Source organism: Homo sapiens, chromosome 20 (genome assembly GCF_000001405.40).
Source record: "Homo sapiens chromosome 20, GRCh38.p14 Primary Assembly".
NCBI lineage: Eukaryota > Metazoa > Chordata > Mammalia > Primates > Hominidae > Homo > Homo sapiens.
The window spans coordinates 40,974,679-40,995,353 of record NC_000020.11 but is presented as its reverse complement, the minus strand read 5'-3'; the positions used below and the strand labels follow the sequence as shown (position 1 = coordinate 40,995,353).

At 42.7% G+C, this 20,675-nt stretch overlaps 1 long non-coding RNA gene across 2 annotated transcripts in view, besides 3 other annotated features; it reads right to left on the bottom strand.

Moving 5' to 3' along the window:
- Positions 1–14,641, bottom strand: part of LOC100128988 (uncharacterized) — a 44,684-nt gene extending 30,043 nt beyond the window's left edge. For both annotated transcript variants that reach the window (NR_145524.1, NR_145525.1), the window contains exon 1: positions 14,433–14,641. This is a non-coding gene — a long non-coding RNA (uncharacterized LOC100128988). The remainder of the gene's footprint in view (positions 1–14,432) is intronic.
- Positions 4,210–4,259: an enhancer, noted in NCBI's record as "active region_17883". NCBI's record gives its function as "activates an Ori minimal core promoter by ATAC-STARR-seq in GM12878 lymphoblastoid cells {active_cell/tissue: GM12878}" and the evidence as "EXISTENCE:reporter gene assay evidence [ECO:0000049][PMID:35858748]".
- Positions 4,280–4,439: an enhancer, noted in NCBI's record as "active region_17882". NCBI's record gives its function as "activates an Ori minimal core promoter by ATAC-STARR-seq in GM12878 lymphoblastoid cells {active_cell/tissue: GM12878}" and the evidence as "EXISTENCE:reporter gene assay evidence [ECO:0000049][PMID:35858748]".
- Positions 4,500–4,589: an enhancer, noted in NCBI's record as "active region_17881". NCBI's record gives its function as "activates an Ori minimal core promoter by ATAC-STARR-seq in GM12878 lymphoblastoid cells {active_cell/tissue: GM12878}" and the evidence as "EXISTENCE:reporter gene assay evidence [ECO:0000049][PMID:35858748]".
- Positions 14,642–20,675: the final 6,034 nt, after the last annotated feature.

Here is a 20,675-nt window from a genome sequence, read left to right as displayed (position 1 = left end):
TTATGCTGAAAATGTTGGTTTTAGTGGCAATAATATTAGATTTATTTGCTTTATCTTATAATGTATAAAATAACAATTTATATTAATAATATGATTATGGAAAACATTTTAAGATTAAAAACTGGTCAGGTATGGCAGGTCACGCCTGTAATCCCAGCACTTTGGGAGGCCGAGGGGGGCGGATCACCTGAGGTTGGGAGTTCGAGACCAGCCTGACAAACATGGAAAAACCCCGTCTCTACTAAAAATACAAAAAAAATTAGCCAGGTATGGTGGCACGTGCCCGTAATCCCAGCTACTCGGGAGGCTGAGGCAGGAGAATCACTTGAACCTGGGAGGCAGAGGCTGTGGTGAACTGAGATCGCACCATTGCACTCTAGCCTGGGCAACAAGAGCGAAACTCCATCTAAAAAAAAAAAAAAAATTAAAAACTTTAATTTTTTTGGCAGTTCCTCTTGTCCTTTGGGTATATCCTGATGGGAATGTACAAATTACTATGTTTAAAGTCATTTGAAATAATTCTTCTCTGAGCACTTATACCATCAATTTAATACATAGTTTGATACATTCATTTCATTTTGCTTTCATTTTAGGGGTTACTTTATTTAAAATTCCATTTTGTTTTAATGATTATGTGGAACATTTACATCGTTCCATAGCCAAATCTTCAAAATAAGTATATTCAGGTAACTCTAGCTTCTATACTTGTTCTTTGTACTCTGATGTCTTCCTTTCTCATCGAGAGTCATTTTTTAAAAAGTTCTTTTCTTTTATTTAAAAAATATAAGCAAATATATATATTGATTTCCCCTCTTTTGTACATAAATGCTAGCAGCCATACACTTTTCTTCTTTTACTTAACTATATATATATAATATATGTATATACATTTTATATTTTATTTATTATTTATTTATTGAGACAGGGTCTTGCCCTGTTGCGCAGACGGGTGTGCAGTGTTGTGAACATGGCTCACTGCAGCCTCAATCCCCTGGGCTCAAGCAATCTGGCCACCTCAACCGTTTGAACAGCTGGGGCCACAGGCGTGCACTACCACGCCTGGCTAATTTTCCTTCAATTTTTTTTTTTTTGCAGAGACAAGGTTTCACTAGGTTGGCCAGGTTGGTTTTGAACCCCTGGGTTCAAGTGATCCTCCTGTCTCAGGCTTCTGAAGTGCTGGGATTATAGGCATGAGCCACCATGCCCAGCCTAGCAATATATTCTGAAGATCACTCTACTACAGTATACAAAGATAGCTCTCATTCCATTTTATGGCTTCATAGTATTCCACTGTGTAAATATATCATAATTTATTCACATAATCCCCTGTTGATGGATGTTTGGGTAGTTTCTAGCCCCTTGTTATTACAATGAGTGCTGTAACAAAGAGGCTTGTGTCAGACATTTGCCAGAGTATTTTTGGGATTGACTCATGGAAGTTGTATTGCTAAGTAAATGCATCTGTAATACTGGCTTTTGAGATCCTAGCCCAAGAATGCTTTCTTTTTTATTAGTTATTTTTTAAATAGCAAAATCTATCAAAACTCTTTTCACTGTAAATTGACAATTTATAGCTGTATAAATTTGTGAGGTACAAAGTGATGTTATAATGTATGAATACAATGTGGAAGAATTAAGTCAAGCTAGTTAACACATCCACAGCCTCAATAAGAATACTATCTGTGTGAGCTTTTTTCACACTACCTCTCTGTGCCTCAGTTTCTGATCTGCAAAATGGGGATAATAACAGTATTTACCTCAGGGAGTTGTTGGGAAGACTATATGGGCTAGTTGTTTTAAAGTGTTTAGAATAGACTGGGCATGGTGGCTCATGCCTGTAATCCCAGCACTTTGGGAGGCCAAGGTGGGCGGATCACTTGATGTCAGGAGTTCGAGACCAGCCTGGCCAACATAGTGAGACCCCTGTCTCTATTAAAAATGTAAAAATTAGGGCCAGGCATGGTGGCGCATGCCTGTAATCCCAGCACTTTGGGAGGCTGAGGTAGGCAGATTGTCTGAGCTTGGGAGTTCAAGACCACCTTGGGCAACAGGGTGAAACCTTGTCTCTGCTAAAAAAAATACAAAAAATTAGCTGGACATGGTGGCGGGCACCTGTAGTCCTAGCTACTTGGGAGGCTGAGGCAGGAGAATTGCTTGAACCCAGAAGGCGGAGGTTGCAGTGAGCCAAGATCACACCACCGCACTCCAGCCTGGGCGACAGAGGGAGACCCTGTCTCCAAAAAAAAAAGAAAAAAAAAAGAAAAGAAAAATTAGCCAGGCATAGTGGTGGGTGCCTATAATCCCAGCTACTTGGAAGGCTGAGGCAGGAGAATCACTTGAAGCCAGGAGGTGGAGGTTGCAGTGAGCTGAGATGGTGCCACTGCTCTCCAGCCTGTGCAACAGAGTGAGACTCCATCTCAGTAAATAAATAAATAAATAAATAAATAAATAAATAAATAAAGTGCTTAGAATTTTCCTGGTACATGGAAAATGTTCAATAAATGTTAGCTGCTTTTATTTTTATTAGCAAAGGGATAGAAAGTATGGGAATATGTGGACAGGTGGAACAGTAGAGTTAGATGCTGCTATAAGTTTTTAAGAAGGGATTCTGGAGCTCTTCCTACTGCCCCTGCAGGAAAGGGAAGAATCGAAGAACCCAGAAATGAAGTTTGAAGATTAAATGAATAGGACAAGGACTGATAGTTTAATCCTAGCATAGACAGTGGGCCCTAAGGCTCCAAATGCCCCTCTTCCCAATGCTTGAGTGCTGGCTACACACTCTGACCTGTCTAGAGACTTAGATGCACTCTGGAGGAAGAGAGGGAGGAAGCAGTCACTTGACCACATTTAACCTGAACTTATTTACAGTAAATCTCTGCCATTAGGTTGGATGGGCACTTGGGATAGAAATGAAATTCAGTTATACAAAAATAAGTTACTTTATATATTCATTTTACATGAGCTTATGGCCTATGAAATTCAACTCGTTACAATATAATTATTGACTGATAGCCTGAGGCACAAGAGGAGGGTGTGAAAGAATGGAAGGAGTGGGAGGGAATAAAAGAAATATTGGAAGGCAGCTCTTTGTTCACCTTACACATGGGGCTAGAGCTCTGATGTCCAATATGGTAGCCACTAGCTACATGAGTCCGATGACTACCAAATTGGAAAACCTAGCTATAGAAATTTTCAGCATTGCACTGTTCTATTGGACAGTGCTGGGAATGTTGATTGGCCGTGCATAGTGGGTGGCAGAGTGTAAACCCTGGTGCTGGAGGTCCATCCTGATATCCTCATTTTTGGTTCCCAATAAATGGGCTCAAACTGGTCCTCTGAAGGTCCTGGACAGCTGCTCACATCCACACGGCCATCCAAGTCTGTGTCTCAGGCTTCTGCTCCTTCCTCCTTCCTCTAGGGAGTAGCTGCCTGCAGCTCTAGCTCTTTATCCCCTTTCTTACAACCTGCTCCTCCAAAGTCATGCCCAGACTCATGTCCTGGGTCTCCTTCCCAGGCTCTCAGGAGGCTTCAGTCAAGCTGGTCTATTCGTTCTCTGTCATCTGCCTAGACTGAATTAAGGTAGCTGGCAGGCTCCCTGTAGTTGGAGGCAGACAGGGCACCCCCAGTTAGTTCCTCCTTACTCTCTGCTGGCTCATATTTCCTGTTTTTAATAGCTAGGTCCCTGGGCCTATCAAGGGGTGATACAAGGCCTGTCTCTTCCCTCCCCCACCATGCTTACTTTGAAAAGGGGGAAGTGGAACTGCTCAGTGTTCATGAGCTGGGCTAATAGCACCTTCTGTCATGCAGCCCTCCCAGCCCTGAAACCTCCAGCTCTCAGTCCTACTCAGGTTCCCACACCCACCCCACAAAAAGCCTTGTCTGAGGCTTCCTCCAGAATTGCAAGGTCTGGGGAGCTGGGTGCCACAGACCCAGAGGAAGTTTCCCTGCTCTGTTCTGTTTGTTTCTGTAGAGATGATGTGAACACCTCACTGCTATCCAAGTTTCATTCAATGAATATTTGTTGGTCATCTGGGCCTGACCCTGAGATCACCAGGGTCTACAAGGCAGATGAAAGCCCTGCTCCTTAGACATCTGCCCTAGTCGGGGAGACAGACAACAAAGAAGAAAAATGGGATCCTGGTTGAGGAGTTGGTGGGGGGCAGATTCTAATATTGGAGGTTCTTTTGGGTTGGAGGGAGCTGGGCGTGCTAGGCAGGGACAAGATGGAAAGGAGAAAGGAGGTGTATGCCTGACTGTGAGCTCCATTAAGCCAGGGACTGTGCCCTATTTGCCTTCCATTGATTCCTCAGTGATTCCTTCCATTGATTCCATTGATTCCTCCTCAGAGCGGGAGCTCATGAAGCACTGAATGAATGACCGACCAGTGCTGCTGAGATAGGCGCAAAGCTGGGGGCTTCTGAGCTGGACTTGCCTCTGTGGTCCCCATGGCTGCCCTTGTTGCATGGGGCCTGGACCCCAGCCCCAGCCCAGCCAGCTTTGCTGCCACTTGGATTCATTCTCTGCAGTTTCCAAGTCTTTCCCTGAGCTATGGCCTCCAACCTATCCCAGCTCAGGGCCGGTACGTGTCTAGGCAGCTCTATCCAGCTCTTTCCTCACTTGGCAATTTGTGAAGTGGAGACATCAAGTGGTCAGATCCTGGAACGGCAGCAGTCGAGCTGTGGACACAGAGCAAAGGCTCCCGAGCCCTCCTGCCAGGCAGAGCCCTGATGCAGCGATGATTAGTACTGGATCCACACAGAACCTTATCCTGGCTGAGCCCAGATTCCAGCCATAGAACGAACTCTAATCCTGGTCACAGACTGAGACCTCCAACTCCTAATTAGGGGTCTAAGAGGGGTACTCCTAAACAATTCCCCTAATTTTACATTTGTACTGTAATGAACTGATACAACTTTAAAAACTTTTTTTTGGAAGGTTCACATATATTCAGAATTTTCCATTCTAAACATATCCATGCAACCAATGCTCATTGCTGGCAATCCCAGACACCTTCATCTTCATACTTCCTTCTACTCGCTACCTCCCCAAGGGTAACAACTTCTATATATTTGAAATCATACTGTATATTCTTTTCTTTTTTTTGAGACAGGGTCTCATTCTGTCACCTAGGCTGGAGTGCAGTGGTATGATCTTGGCTCACTGCAACCTCTGCCTCCCAGGTTCAAGTGATTCTCGTGCCTGAGTAGCTGGGACTACATGTGTGCGCCACCACGCCCAGCTAATTTTTTGTATTTTTAGTGGAGACAGGGTTTCCATCATGTTGGCCACGCTGTGTATATTCTTTTCGGTGTCTGGCTTCTTCTGCCCAATGTCATGTTGGTGAAATTCATCCACATTGATATGCGTCCTTGTTGATTGGTTATACTTGGTGTGCACAGTCAGCCCCCCGTATCCATGGATTCTGCATCCATGGATTCAACCAGCCACAGATTAAAAACATTTTTAAAAAAGTTGCATCTATACTGAACATGTAGACTTTTTTCTTGTCATTCTTTTTTTTTTTTTTGAGACGGAGTCTTACTCTTTCACCCAGGCTAGAGTGCAGTAGTGCAATCTTGGGTCACTGCAACATCCACCTCCCAGGTTTGGGTGATTCTTCTGCCTCAGCCTCCCAGTGAGCTGGGATTACAGGCATCTGCCACCATGCCTGGCTAATTTTTGTATTTTTAGTATAGACAGGGTTTCACCATGTTGGCCAGGCTGGTCTTGAACTCCTGACCTCAGGTGACCTGCCTGCCTTGGCCTCCCAAAGTTGCTGGGATTACAGGCATAATCCACCACCCCCAGCCCTTGTCATTCTTTTCTTTTCTTTCTTTCTTTCTTCTTTTTTTTTTTTTTTTTTTGAGACAGAGTCCTGTTCTGTCACCCAGGCTGGAGTGCAGTGGTGCATCTCGGCTCACTGCAAGCTCTGCCTCCCGGGTTCGCCATTCTCCTGCCTCAGCCTCCCGAGTAGCTGGGATTACAGGAGCCCGCCACCACGCCCAGCTAATTTTTTCTATTTTTAGTAGAGACAGGGTTTCACTGTGTTAGCCAGGATGGTCTCGATCTCCTGACCTCGTGATCCGTCCGCCTCGGCCTCCGAAAGTGCTGGCATGAGCCACTGCACCCGGCATGAGCCACTGCACCCGGCCCATTATTTTCTTAAAACACAGTATAACAACTATTTACATAGCATTTACATTGTATTAGGTATTATAAGCAATCTAGAGATGATTTAAAGTTTATGGGAGGATGTGCATAGGTTATATTCAAATACAACACCATTTTATGTAAAAAACTTGAGAATTCCTGAATTTTTGTATCTGTGGGAGTCCCGGAATCAATCCCCCATGGATATTGAGGGATAGCTGTATTTTACTGTGTGAATTTATACTGCAACTTAGTTATCTATTCTATTGTCAATGAGCATTTGGGTACTTCCATTTGAAGGTTATTGTAAGTAGTGCTGCCATGGATTTTGTAGCATATGTCATTTGGTGAACAGAGCTTAGGCATCTCTGTACCTAGAAGTGGAATTGCTGGGTTATGGGTTTTGTATTGATTTAGCTTCATTAGTTGCTAATAAATAGTTTTCCGAAGTAGTTATACCGATTTACATGCCCCACTCAGGGTATGCCAATTCCAGTTGTTCCATACCATTACAGTATTCATTCTAGACTTTTTGTCTTTTCTACTGTAGACTTTCTGGATGATGTGTACTGATGATATCACTCTTGGATGGGCCTGCAATGCAGATGAGCTTATGTGCAGATGTATTGATTTTATTATTAATAAATGGAAGGGATTTTAATGGAACTGGCCCTGCTATCTTATAATTGACACTGAAAAGGGATCCAGCTCAACATTTCTAAAACCCAAATAAAAGATTTTAGTCATTTAAGCAAAAATTTGTAAATCTCTCAAATTCATAAACTCATAAGGGACTCCTTCTATCACTTAACTGCTTATTCTTAGTAACTCTTTTTTTTTTTTTTTTTTTTTGTTGGAGACAGGGTCTCACTCTGTCGCCTAGGCTGGAGCTCAATGGCAGTCTCAGCTCACTGCAGCCTCTGCCTCATGGGCTCAAGTGATTCTCCATCCTCAGCCTCCCGAGTAGCTGGGATTACAGGCATATGCCACCACGCCTGGCTGATTTTTGTATTTTTAGTAGAGATGGGGTTTCACTATGTTGGCCAGGCTGGTCTTGAACTCCTGACCTCAAGCGATCCACCCACCTTAGCCTTCCCAAGTGCTGAGATTTCAGGCATGAGCCACTGTGCCCAGCCAAAAACTCTTATCTGATCAGACATTTTGTTGCACTTAAGCTTGGAAGATTCAATAGGAAGTAATTTTTTTGCTAAATTGGGATTTAGCATTATTTGTTTTATATCTATGTGTATATATATATATATATATATATATATACATGAGTAATATACAAGAGTATACTAGTGTACTACTCTTGTAGCATATGTCCATTGGTGAACATAGGTAGGCATTTCTGTGCCTAGAAGTGTGTATATACCTACACATACATTTATATTATATTCACACACACACACACACACACACACACACACAGAGTATTAATTGAAGAGAGTTATAAGACACAGCTTTAGGAAACTAGTTGCTGAATTTTGTCTTGATCTTGCTGAGCACAGTGTTTGTTTATTTGGCCCAAAGAAGCAATGGCCCAGGGACCATTTTGGGGAGCTGCCTTCTAGATCTGCAGAAAGTATAAAATGGTTCCAAGCAAAGAAACACTGGAGTTCCCGGGGTTCCAGATCCACCTTCCACATCAGAGTCCCAATTCCCACTTTACCTGACTTGTTGGCACTGTGTCTGGGCTCCGAGGCATGGAGACCATGCAGGATGGATGAGGCAGAAATGACCAGGAGACTCTCCAGCTGCCAGTGTGCAGAAGCCTCCACAACTGGCAACCAATCAAGTATCATACTTGTAAAACAATTCTTTTTTTTTCTGAGACAGAGTTTCACCCTTGTTGCCGAGGCTGGAGTGCAGTGGTCTGATCTCGGCTCACTGCAACCTCCACCTTCCGATTTCAAGCAATTCTCCTGCCTCAGCCTCACAAGTAGCTGGGATTACAGGCGCCTGCCACCATGCCTGGCTAATTTTTGTATTTTTAGTAGAGACGGGGTTTCACCATGTTGGCCAGGCTGGTTTCGAACTCTTGACCTTGTAATCCACCTGCCTCAGCCTCCTGAAGTGCTGGGATTACAGGTGTGAGCCACCGCACCTGGCCAAAACAATTATTTTAGCTAAAAGTCATACATTTTCTCTTATTTAAATGACAGGCTGATTTTTGTCTCTGCTTACAGGAAACACATACCTTGGAAGTGGTCAACCTTCATAGTCTGAAGGAGGAAGTGGTCAAATACCAAGATCAGAACCTGGTCTATTAATCACTAGGCAGGAGTGTGTAGAGGAAGACAGACTGGGGAATGGAGACCCTGCTAGGGACCACATCAAACCCAGGTTACAATCAAACATTGGTACCTGAAAGCTGTTCTGTCTCCACCTGGAGACTTTTCACTTCTTTGCTCTGGACAGGCTTGGCTGATCCCAGCATTTAACAACATTTAACTGCATTTAACTCTCAAAGGCAATCTTGTCACCCTCATTTCTATTTCATCTCAAGGACTAACAATTTCAAGAGTAAAAAGTAAAAAATAGGGGGATGAAGAAACAGGGACAAAGGGGAAATGGGAGAAGAAAGCTAAGAGCAATCAAGGGAGAGGTTAGTGCAAGCAATGCAGTTTATAGACTCCTAGGTAGTTGGAAACCATGGGCCACAAATCTGACTCTGAGCTTCCTAGCAGCCATTGTGAAAAGGGAAATGTAATCCATCACATGATTCATAAAGCTTGTCAGGTAAAAAGCAGAACAGTTTCCCCCCAGAGAAAATGCCTATTCCTATTATTAAGATTTGGAAGAAATTTCTTCTGGGGCACACAGAGAGACACAGTGCCAGCAAGTCAGTTAAAGTGGGAATTGGGGCTCTGATGTGGAAGGTGGATCTGGAACCCCGGGAAGTCCAGTGTTTCTTTGCTTGGAACCATTTTATACTTTCTGCAGATCTAGAAGGCAGCTCCCCAAAATGGTCCCTGGGCCATTGCTTCTTTGGGCCATCTCAGGAGGTAAAGAAATGGCCTTTTGAATCACAAGTGAGCAAGGAGGTAAGAAGTCTTTCGTGGCCTGGGTTACTCCCAGCAGGTGAAGCTGGATACTGGCTGCTGTCTTTTACCCTGGACCCCGGATGGGCAACACAGGTGAATAATATCTTGCTCAGTCTGGAAAGACCCAAAGAGATAATTCACCCCTTTCCTTTATCTTCTGATGGGACATTTTGCCAAAATTCTTTCTGGACTTAGAAATGTTTTTTTGGCTCCAGAGTCCCTCTCTTGGGAGAGCAGAGGGCAGGAGATTCACAGCATCTTAAGAGTTTATAACACTAGGCCCCTGGGGCAGGCAGAAGCTTGGCCCCCAAAGATATTTTGCATCAAAACTCCCGGAACCTGCAAACACTTTAACCTTAACATGGCCCAAGGGACTTTGCAGACATGATTAAGCTAATGATCTTGAGACGGGAAGATGATCCTGGATTATCTGGCTGGGCCCAGTGTAATCACAAGGTCCTTATAAGAGGAAGGCAGGATGAAAGTCAGAGAAAGAGACGTGATGATAGAGTCAGAGGTCAAGGCTCGGCATGGTAGCTCATGCCAGTAATCTCAGCACTTTGGAGGCTGAGGCAGGTGGGTTGCTTCAGTCCAGGAGTTTGAGACCAGCCTGGGCAAAACAGAGAGATCCTGTCTGTACAAAAAATACAAAAAGTTAGCTGGGTGTGGTGGTGCATGCCTGAAGTCCAGCTACTTGGGAGGCTGAGGTGGGAGGATCACACGGGCCCGGGAAGCCAAGACTTCAGTGAGCCGTGATTGCGCCACTGCACTCCAGCCTGGGTGACAGAGTGAGATCCTGTCTCAACAACAACAACAACAACAACAAAAAGTAGAATCAAAGGTTAGAGTGATTCAATGGCTGGCTTGAAGATGGATAAGGGCCACAAGTCTATGGAATGTGGGCGGCCTTTAGAAGCTGGAAGAGGCAAGGAACACATTTTACCCTAGAGCCTCCAGGAAGAATGCGGCTCTGTGGAAACCTTGATTTTTCGCCCTGTTCTGACTTGCAGGACTGTAAAATACTATGTATTGTTTAAGTGGTTAAGTTGTTACAGCAGCAATGGGAACTGAATACAACCCCCCAACACATACACACACACACACACACACACACTCCACATTTGAAATATGCCTTGTGGACTTGTCCTCATCTAGCCAAATATATCCAGCTATATAGGGAAAAGTCATGTCTGGTGGGCTGGGGTTTGGTCATTCAGAGCCCAGAGCTGCCAGAGCCTGTCCAGGCACATTCCGAGGAGAGAGGGTTGTAGCCAACAGACTTCCAGTATCTCTACAGCTGCTGGTCAGGGTGGCCCCGTGGAATTTATTTGGCTCCCCCAATCTGATGCCATTGAACATCCACTTTTTCTGGCTCTGAATCCAGGGCTGCTCATGGGGAGAGAATGCACTGCTCTGGCCAGTGATAAAATGCTGGTCCCTGCTGCTCGCTGCGCATTCACCTCAGCCTGTGCACTGATAGCAATAGCAACATGTGTTGAGAACTTACTCTGTGCCAACACTTTGCATGGGGGATCTCATGGAATTCTTACCAGGACTTCGTGCAGCTGGCTCTGCTTGACCATAGGCTGTCAGTGTGACCTTCAGAATGACCAGCAAGGCCTGAGATTTGGTTGCCCATTTGCAGCTCTGTGCTGAGAAGGCCTCAGGGTGCCAGCATGAGTACCCTTGGGGAGTAACACCTCCATTTCGTCTTAGTTCAGGCTGCTATAACAGAATACCACATACTCGGTGGCTGAAATAACAGAATTTTATTTATCATGGTTTTGGAGGCTGAGATGTCCAAGTTCAAGGTGCTGGAAGATTCAGTATCTGGTGGGGACACTCTTCTTGCTTTGCAGAGGGCTGTGTTCTTGTTGTATCCTCACATGGTAGAGAGGGGGAGATCTAGCTATTGATTGATTGAAAGAGAGAGAGAGAGGTCTCTCTTACGTTTCTTCTCTTTTTATTATTTTTTCTTTTTTTCTTTCTTTCTTTTTTTCCTTTTATGTTTCTTCTTAAAAGGGAACTAATCCCATTCATGAGAGCCCCACCTTCATGACGTAATCACCTCTCAAAGGTCTCACCTCTTAATACCATCCCATTAGGGATTAGGCTTCAACATATTAATTTTGGGGAGGACACAAACATTCAGTCCATAGTAACTTTGATCTTTCTCTTTCTTGATTTCTGTAGTTAGAATTCCTGAAAGCTGCCTTGACTCCTCCTGGAACAATGTGGGACATAAATAAACAAATAGATGGTAACTAAAAAATCTGACTGCTGGGTGGACACAAACTGGTCCTCTAATCCTAACTTCATACTAAATTTTTGCGTGATTCTCCCCTTGATCTCTGACCCTGGTCCTACACTGACCCCTAATCCCACATGGAGTGGGACAACCTACTCTCAGTTTACATGAATAGCTTATTGCGGGATTGGTATGTGCCAGGCGCTGGTCTAAGTGTTTTACATTTATTCATGGATTTAATCTTCCCAATGGCCCTAGGGATAGGCATGATTATAACTTCTGTTTTAGAATGAATGATTATATAGTATTTTTATTTTTATTTATTTTTGAGACAGGGCCACACCTTGTCACCCAGGCTGGAGGGCAGTGCCGTGATCTCAGCTCACTGCAGTCTCACCCTCCCAGGATCAAGTGATTCCCCCACCTCAGTCTCCTGAGTAGCTGGGACTACAGGCGCATACCACCATGCCTAGCTAATTCTTTTTTTTTTAAATTTTTGGTAGAGATGGGGTTTCACCATGTTGCCCAAGCTAGCCTTAAACTCTTGGACGATGCTCCCGCCTTGGCCTCCCAAAGTGCTGGGATTACAGGTGTGAGCCACCATGCCCAGCTGTATTTTTAAAGTATTAATTGAGCTTCAGACTCTATTTGAAATAGATACAAATTAATATATTAAATTAATTAATTAATTCACTCATTCATTCACCAAACATGTATCACATTCCTGCTTTCTACAAGGCCAAGGGCCAAGTGCTGGGGATACCAGAAGATAAGGCAGATACAGGAGGGGGCTCCAGCCTGCAAAGCTGATAGCCCAGTTTCATCTCCTCCCCATCTGCTTCGGCTCATTGGCAGCTCCCTTCCCAGGTGGGATATTGAGGGGTATCATGTTGACTTCTTAGTTTCAGGCAAAGGTCCTTTCCCAGACCCTCCTTCCACTCTAGGGAACAGAAGAGTCAGGGAGGTGCTAAGAAACAGAAGTGAAACTTCATTAGATGATCTGGTGAATTTGAATGCATTGTCATCTTCAGAGCTGGGGGTGATCTGGTGAATTTGAATGCATTGTCATCTTCAGAGCTGGGGGTGATCTGGTGAATTTGAATGCATTGTCATCTTCAGAGCTGGGGGTGATCTGGTGAATTTGAATGCATTGTCATCTTCAGAGCTGGGGGTGAAAGGGCGTGGGCTTAGCTACCACTTCTGAGAGCAGCACATCGGCTTTGCACAGGGGACAGGTGCTGGGGCTGTGCCCAAGTGGGTACCAAGACCAGCAAGTGTCCCTTGCATGTCCATCTTCCCCTTTCTCACAGGAAGGGCAGGTGGATGGGAAGTCAGGCTGTTTTAACTTAGCTGTTTCCCTAGCAGTAAACTCAGCAGGTGTCAGCAACTATTTGTTGAATGAACAGATGAACCTCACTTGGGTTTCAAGCCCAGCTGGGCAGTTTAGCAGCTGTGTGGCCCTGAGAAAACTGCTTTCTTCTCTGTGTTTTCCCTTTGTCATCCATCAGGAGAGGACAGTGAAACCTACTTGTAAATATTTATATTTACAAGATTGAAATACTGAATAAATATTAACTGACTACAAGTCCTTTTATTTTTATATATTTTTTGAGATGAGGTCTCACTCTGTCACCCAAGCTGGAGTGCAGTGGTGCCATTACGGCTCACTGCAGCCTTGACCTCCTGGGCTCAGTTGATCTTCCCACCTCAGCCTCCTGAGTAGCTGGGACTACAGGCATGCACCAATATGCCCAGCTAATTTTTGTATTTTCTGTAGAGAAGGGGTTTCTCCATGTTGCCCAGGCTGGTCTTGAACTCCTGGGCTCAAGCAATCCACCCACCTTGGCCTCCTAAAGTGTTGGGATTACAGGCGTGAGCCACTGTGCCGGGCCCCGTTTTATTTTTAAATGGAAAATAGGGTTTCATGACCACTGTCTGGATGCTAGGGATGCAGATGGCTACTGATTTGGTCATTAGGAAATATATTTTATCACACACACACCTTTCAGCCAGAAACCAGGAGGATAGCACCCTGTGTTCATACTAATAATTCCAATTCACACTTAGGTTTTTCACTTAATCTTTTCTATATTACATCTCTCCTTTCTTCCATATTGAGAATCAGATCCTCAATAATACAGGAGATGATAGAATTAAAACAGTCTGTAATTGCTTATTTTCCTTATCCCACATTACACACGCAATGGTCTCAAAATGACAGCAGTAATAGCATCAACAAAATAATTACTGGAAACAGTTTAAAAAGTTTTTTTTTTTTTGAATATGGTCTTCCCATTATTCCTATTTTAAAAGTGGTCTTGTAGGGCAGTGGTCCCCAAGCTTTTTGGCATCAAGGACCGGTTTTGTGGAAGACAGTTTTCCACAGATTGGGGTAAGGGATGGTTTTGGGATGATTCAAGCACATTGCACTTATTATACACTTTATTTCTATTATTATTACATTGTAATAGATAATGAAATAATTATACAATTCTTCATAATGTAGAATCAGTGGGAGCCCTAGCTTGTTTTCCCGCAACTAGATGGTCCCATCTGGGGATGATGGGAGACAGTGATAGATCATCAGGCATTAGATTCTCACAAGGAGCCCGCAACTATATCCCTTGCATGCACGGTTCACAATAAGGTTCGCACTCCCATAAGAATCTAATGCTGCCACTGATATGATGGGAGGTGCAGCTCAGGCGGTAATGAGAAATGGGTAGTGGCTGTAAATACAGATGAAGCTTCACTTGCTTGTCTGCTGCTCACCTCCTGCTGTGCAGCGTGGTTCCTAACAGGCCACAGACCAGTACCAGTCCATGGCCAGGGGGTTGGGGACTGCCGTTGTAGGAGGTGGAGCAAGATGGCTGAATAGAAGGCTCCATCTCCCCATCCCCCACAGGAACATAAAATTTAACAACTATCTACACACAAAAAAGCACCTTCATCATAAGAACCAACAATTGGATGAGCACTCACAGTACCTGATTTTAACTTCATACTGTTGAAAGAGGCAATGAAGAGGGTAGGGAAGACAGTCTTGAGTTGCTGATGCCACCTGTCCCCATCCCATGGCAGTGGCTTTGTGGCGTAGAGAGAGAATCTCTGTGCTTGGAAGAGGGAGAGCGCAGCTATTGTGAGACATTGCATTGAATTTGATGCTGCTTTGTCACAGTGAAAGCAAAACCGAACTGAACTCAGCTGACAGCTGATGATGGAGAGAGTATTTAGACCAGCCCTAGCCAGAGGGTAATTGCCCAAGGGAATTGCCCAACCCAGTGGATGGAACTTGAGTTTCAGCAAGCCTTACCACCATGGGGGTAAAATGCTCTGGGTTGTAAATAAACTTGAATGGCAGTCAAGGTCACAAGGACTGCAGTTCCTAGGCAAGTCCTAGTGCTGAGCTGGGCTCAGAGTCAGTGGACATGGTGGGGGCACATGACCTACTGAGACACTAGCTGAGGCAGCTAAGGGAGTACTTGCACCACCCTCCCCCCAACTCCAGGTAGCACAGCTTGCAGCTGTGCAAGCTCCTTCCACTTGAGGAGAGGAGAGGGAAGAGTAAAGAGGACTTTGTCTTGCATCTTGGATGCCAGCTCAGCCACAGTAGGATAGGGTACCAGTTAGGGTCATAAGGTCCCCATTCCAGGGCCTAGCTCCTGGATGATATTTCTAGACACACCCTAGGCTAGGAGGGAGCCTACTGCTTTGAAGGGAAGGACTCAGTCCTGGCAGGATTCATTACCTGCTGATTAAAGAGTCCTGGGACCTTGAAGAACCAGCAGCGATACCCTGGTATCTACCATAGGCCTTGGTTGAGACTCTGAGACATGTTGGCTTCAGGTGAGACCCAGCACATTTCCAGCTGTGGTGGCTATGGTGAGAACCATAGTGAGAACACTTGCTTGAGTAAAGCAGAGGAAAAAGTAAAGGGGACTTTGTCTTATACCTTAGATACTAGCTCAGCCACAGTAGACTAGACCATAAAGAGGGTTCTTGGGGTCCCTGGTTTCAGGCCTTGCCTTTTAGATGCCATTTCTGGACCTGCTCTGGGTGGGAAGGAAACCCACTGCCCTGAAGGATGAGTCCCAGGCCTGGCAACATTCACTACAAGCCGACTGAAGAGCCCTTGGGTCTTCAGTGAACGTTGGTGGTAGACTGGCAGTAGTCCTATGGGCCTGTCGTGGTGATGGCCACAGGTTGAGGCCCCTCTGCTTATGGAAGTGGGAGGGAAGTGTGGGAAGGATTATGTCTCGTGGTTTGAGTGCCAGCTCAGCTGCAGTAGAATAGAACAGCAGGTAGATTTCTAAGCTTTTTGACTCCAGTCTCTGGCTCCCAGACAGTATCTCTGCACCTGCTTGGGGCCTGGGGGAACTGGGTGCCTTGAAGGGACGGACATAAGCCTGGCTGGCTTTGCCACCTCCTGATTGTAGAACCCTAGGGCCTTGAGCAAACATAGGCAGTAGCCAGGTGGCAGTTACAGCAGGCCTTGGGCAAGACCTAATGCTGCACTGGCTTCAGGTCTGACCCAGCGCAGTCCCAGTGATGGTGACCACAGGTGTGCTTGTGTCACTTCTCCCCCAGCTCTAGGCAGCACAGCACAGAGAGAGAGAGAGAGAGAGAAAGTCTCCATTTGTTTGGAAGAAAGTAAGGGAAGAGAACAAGAATCTCTAGTAATCCAGAGAATTCTTCTGGATCTTATCCAAGGCTACCAAAGTGGTACCTCTGCAACTCTGCAAGAACCACAGCATTACTGGGCTTGGGGTGTCCCTTAATGCAGATGCATTTGCAGTGACCAAACACTTAGATCACAACACCCAAGTCCCTTTGAATACGTGGAAAGCCTTGTCCTTCCACAATACTTGTCCTTCACAGTCTGGGCTTGTTTGTACCTGTCCACAAGAAAGGCAAGTACAAACAAACCCAGACTGTGAAGAGTACAACAGATACCTAACTGTTAAATGCACAGTCACTGACAAACATCCACAAGCATCAAGACCATCCGGGAAAACATGGCATCACCAAACAAACTAAATAAGCCCGTGGGGACCAATCCTGGAGAGACAGAGATATGTGATCTTTCAGATAGATAATTCAAAATAGCTATTTTGAGGAAACTCAAAGAAATGTAAGAAAAACCAGAGAAGGAATTCATAATTCTATCAGACAAATTTAACAAACAGATTGAAATAATTAAAAAGAATCAGGCAGAAAGTCTAGAGTTGAAAAATACAATTGACATGCTGAAGAATGTACCAGAGTCTCTTAATACCTGAATCGATCAAGCAGAGAAAGAATTAGTGAGCTTGAAGACAGGCTATTTGAAAATGCACAGTCAGAGGAGACAAAAGAAAAAAGAATAAAAAAGAATAAGGCATATCTACAAGATCTAGAAAATAGCCTCAAAAGGGCAACTCTAAGAGTTACGGAGCTTAAAGAGGAGGTAGATAAGAGATAGGTGTAGAAAGTTTATTCAAAAGGATAATAACAGATAACTTCCCAAACCTAGAAAAAGATACCAATATCTAAGTATGATAAGGTTATAGAATACCAAGCAGATTTAACCCAAAGACTACCTCAAGCCACTTAATAATCATACTCCCAAAGGTCAAGGATAAATAAAGGACCCTAAAAGCAGCAAGAGAAAGGAAACAAATAACATACAATGGAGTTCCAATATGTCTGGCCACAGACTTTTCAGTAGAAACCTTACAGGACTGGAGAGCATGCCATGACATATTTAAAGTGCTGAAGAAAAATAAGCCTTTTACCCTAGAATACTATATCAGATGAAAATATCCTTCAAACATGAAAGAGAAATATTTTCCCAGACAAACAAAAGCTGAGGAATTTCATCAACACCAGGCCTGTTCTACAAGAAATGCTAAAGGCAATACTTCAGTCAGAAAGTAAAGGACAGTAATGAGCAATAAGAAATCATCTGAAGGTACAAGACTCACTGGTAATAGTAAGTACACAGAAAAACAGAATGTTATAACACTGTAACTGTAGTGTGTTATACTGCTCTTAAGTAGAAAGACTAAGAGATGAACCAGTAAAAATGATGACTACAAAAGCTTTTCAAGACATAGGCAGTACAGTAAGACATAAATCGAAACAAAAAGTTAAAAGCAGGGGGATGAAATTAAAGTGTAGAGTCTTTATTAGTTTTCTTTTTGCTTATTAGTTTATGCAAGCACTATGAAATTGCTATCAGCTTAAAATGATGGGTGATAAGATAGTATTTGCAAGCCTCATGGTAACCTCAAATCAAAAGCATACAATGCATACACAAAAAATAAAAAGCAAGAAATTAAATCATATCACCAGAGAAAATCACCTTCACTAAAATGAAGACAGAAAAAAAAGGAAAGAAGGAAGAGAAGACCACAGAACAAAAATGACAAAATAGCAGGAGTAAGCCATTACTTATCAATAACATTAAATATAAATGGACTAAATTCTCTAATCAAAAGACACAGAGTGGCTGAATGAATTAAAAAAATAAGACCCAATGATCTGTTGCCTACAAGAAACATACTTCACACACAGACTGAAAATAAAGGGATGGAAAATAATATTCCATGCCTCTTAAACCAAAAAAAGAGCAGGAGTCACTATACTTATATCACACAAAATAGACTTCAGGACAAAAACTATAAGAAGAGACAAATAAGGTCACTATATAATGATAAATGAGTTAATGCAGTAAGAGGATATAACAATTGTAAATATACATGCACCCAACATTGGAGCACTCAGATATATAAACCAAATACTATTAGACCTAAAGAGAGAGATAGACTCCAATACAATAACAGCTGGAGACTTCCACATCCCACTTTTAGCACTGGACAGATCTTCCAGACAGAAAAATCAACAAAGAAACATTGAACTTAATCTGTACAGTAGACCAAATGGACTTAATAGATATTTACAGAACATTTCATCCAGTAGCTGCAGAATATGCATTCTTTTCCTCAGCACATGGATCATTCTCAATGATATACCATATGTTAGATCACAAAACAAATCTTAAAACATTAAAAAAATTTGAAAAATATATCAAGTATCTTTTTGACCACAATGGAATAAAACTAGAAATCAATAACAAGAGGAATTTTGGAAACTATACAAACACATGGAAATTAACAATATTCTCGTGAATAACCAGTGGGTCAATGATGAAATTAAAGAGGAAATCAGAAAATTTCTTGAAACAAATGATAATGGAAACATAACATACCAAAATCTATGGGATACAGTGAAAGCAGTACCAAGAGGGAAATTTATAGTTACAAGCACCTACATCAAAAAAGAAGAAAAATTTCAAATAAACAATTTAATGATACATCTTAAAGAACTGGAAAAGCAAAAGCAAACCAAACCCAAAATTAGTAGAAGAAAGGAAATATTAACAATCAGAACAGAAATAAATGAAATTGAAACAAACAAAAAACAATACAAAAGATCAACAAAACAAAGTTTTTTTGAAAGATAAACAAAATTGACAAACCTTTAGACAGACAATTGAAGAATAAAAGAGAGAAGACAAAGAAATAAAATCAGAGATGAGAAAGGAAATACTACAACTGATACTGCAGAAATTCAAAGGATAATTAATGGCTAGTATGAGCAAATATATGCTAATAAGTTAGAAAATCTAGAAGAAATGGATAAATTTCTAGATACATACAACCTACCAAGATTGAATCATGAGGATCCAAAACCTGGCCAGGCACGGTGGCTCATGCCTGTAATCCCAGCATTTTGGGAGGCCAAGGTGGGCGGATCATGAGGTCAGGAGATTGAGACCATCCTGGCTAACACGGTGAAACCCCATCTCTACTAAAAATGCAAAAAATTTGCTGGGTGTGGTGGCGGGCACCTGTAGTCCCAGCTACTCAGGAGGCTGAGGAAGGAGAATGGCGTGAACCTGGGAGGGGGAGCTTGCAGTGAGCTGAGATCATGCCACTGTACTCCAGCCTGGGTGACAGAGCGAGACTCTGTCTCAAAACAAAAACAAAAACAAAAAACAAAAAACAAAACCTGAATGGACAAGTAATGAGTAATGAAATAGAAGCTGTAGTAAAAAGTCTCCCAGCACAGAAAATCCTGGGACCAGATGGCTTCACTGCTAAATTCTACAAAACATTTAAAGAAGAACTAATACCAATCCTACTCAAACTCTTCCAAAAAATAGAGGAGGGAGGAATACTTCCAAACTTATTCTATGTGGCCAGAATTACCCTGATAGCAAAACCAGACAAAGACACATCAAAACAAACAAACAAACAACAACAACAAAAAACAAAAACTACAGGCCAATATCCCTGATGAATTTTAATGCAAAAATCCTCAACAAAATACTAGCAACCAAAATTGAACAACACATTAAAAAGATCATTCCTTATGACTAAGTAGGATTTATCCCAGTGATGCAAAGATGGTTGAACATATGCAAATAAATCAATGTGGTACATCATGTCACAGAATGAAGGACAAAAATCATAAGATCATTTCAATTGATGCTGAAAAAGCATTTGATAAAATTCAACAGCCCTTCATGATAAAAACCCTCAAAAAACCTGGGTATAGAAGGACATACCTCAACATAATAAAACCCATATACAACAGACCCATAGCTAGTACCATACTGAATGGGGAAAAACTGAAAGCTTTTCCTCTAGGATCTGAAGCACTACAAGGATGGCCACTTTCATCACTGTTATTCAACATAGTACTGGAAATCCTATCTAGAACAATCAGACAGGAGAAAGAAATAAAGGGCATCGAAATTGGAAAGAAAGAATTCAGATTATCTTTGTTTTCAGATTATATAATCTTTATATTTGAAAAAATCCAATGACTCCACCAAAAAATTATTAGAACTGATAAACAAATTCAATAAGGCTGCAGGATACAAAAACAACATACCAAAGTCAGTACCATTTCTATTTGCCAACAGCGAACAACCTGAAAAAGAATTCAAGAAATTAATCCCATTTACAATTGCCACGAATAAAATAAAATACCTGGGAATTAACTTAACCAAAGAGGTGAAAGATCTCTACAATTAAAATGATAAAACAGTGGTGAAAGAAACTGAAGAGGACACAAGGAAATGGAAAGATATTTCATATTCATGGATTAGAAGAATCAATATTGTTAAAATGTCCTTACTACCCAAAGGAATCTACAGATTCAATGCAATCCCTATCAAAACA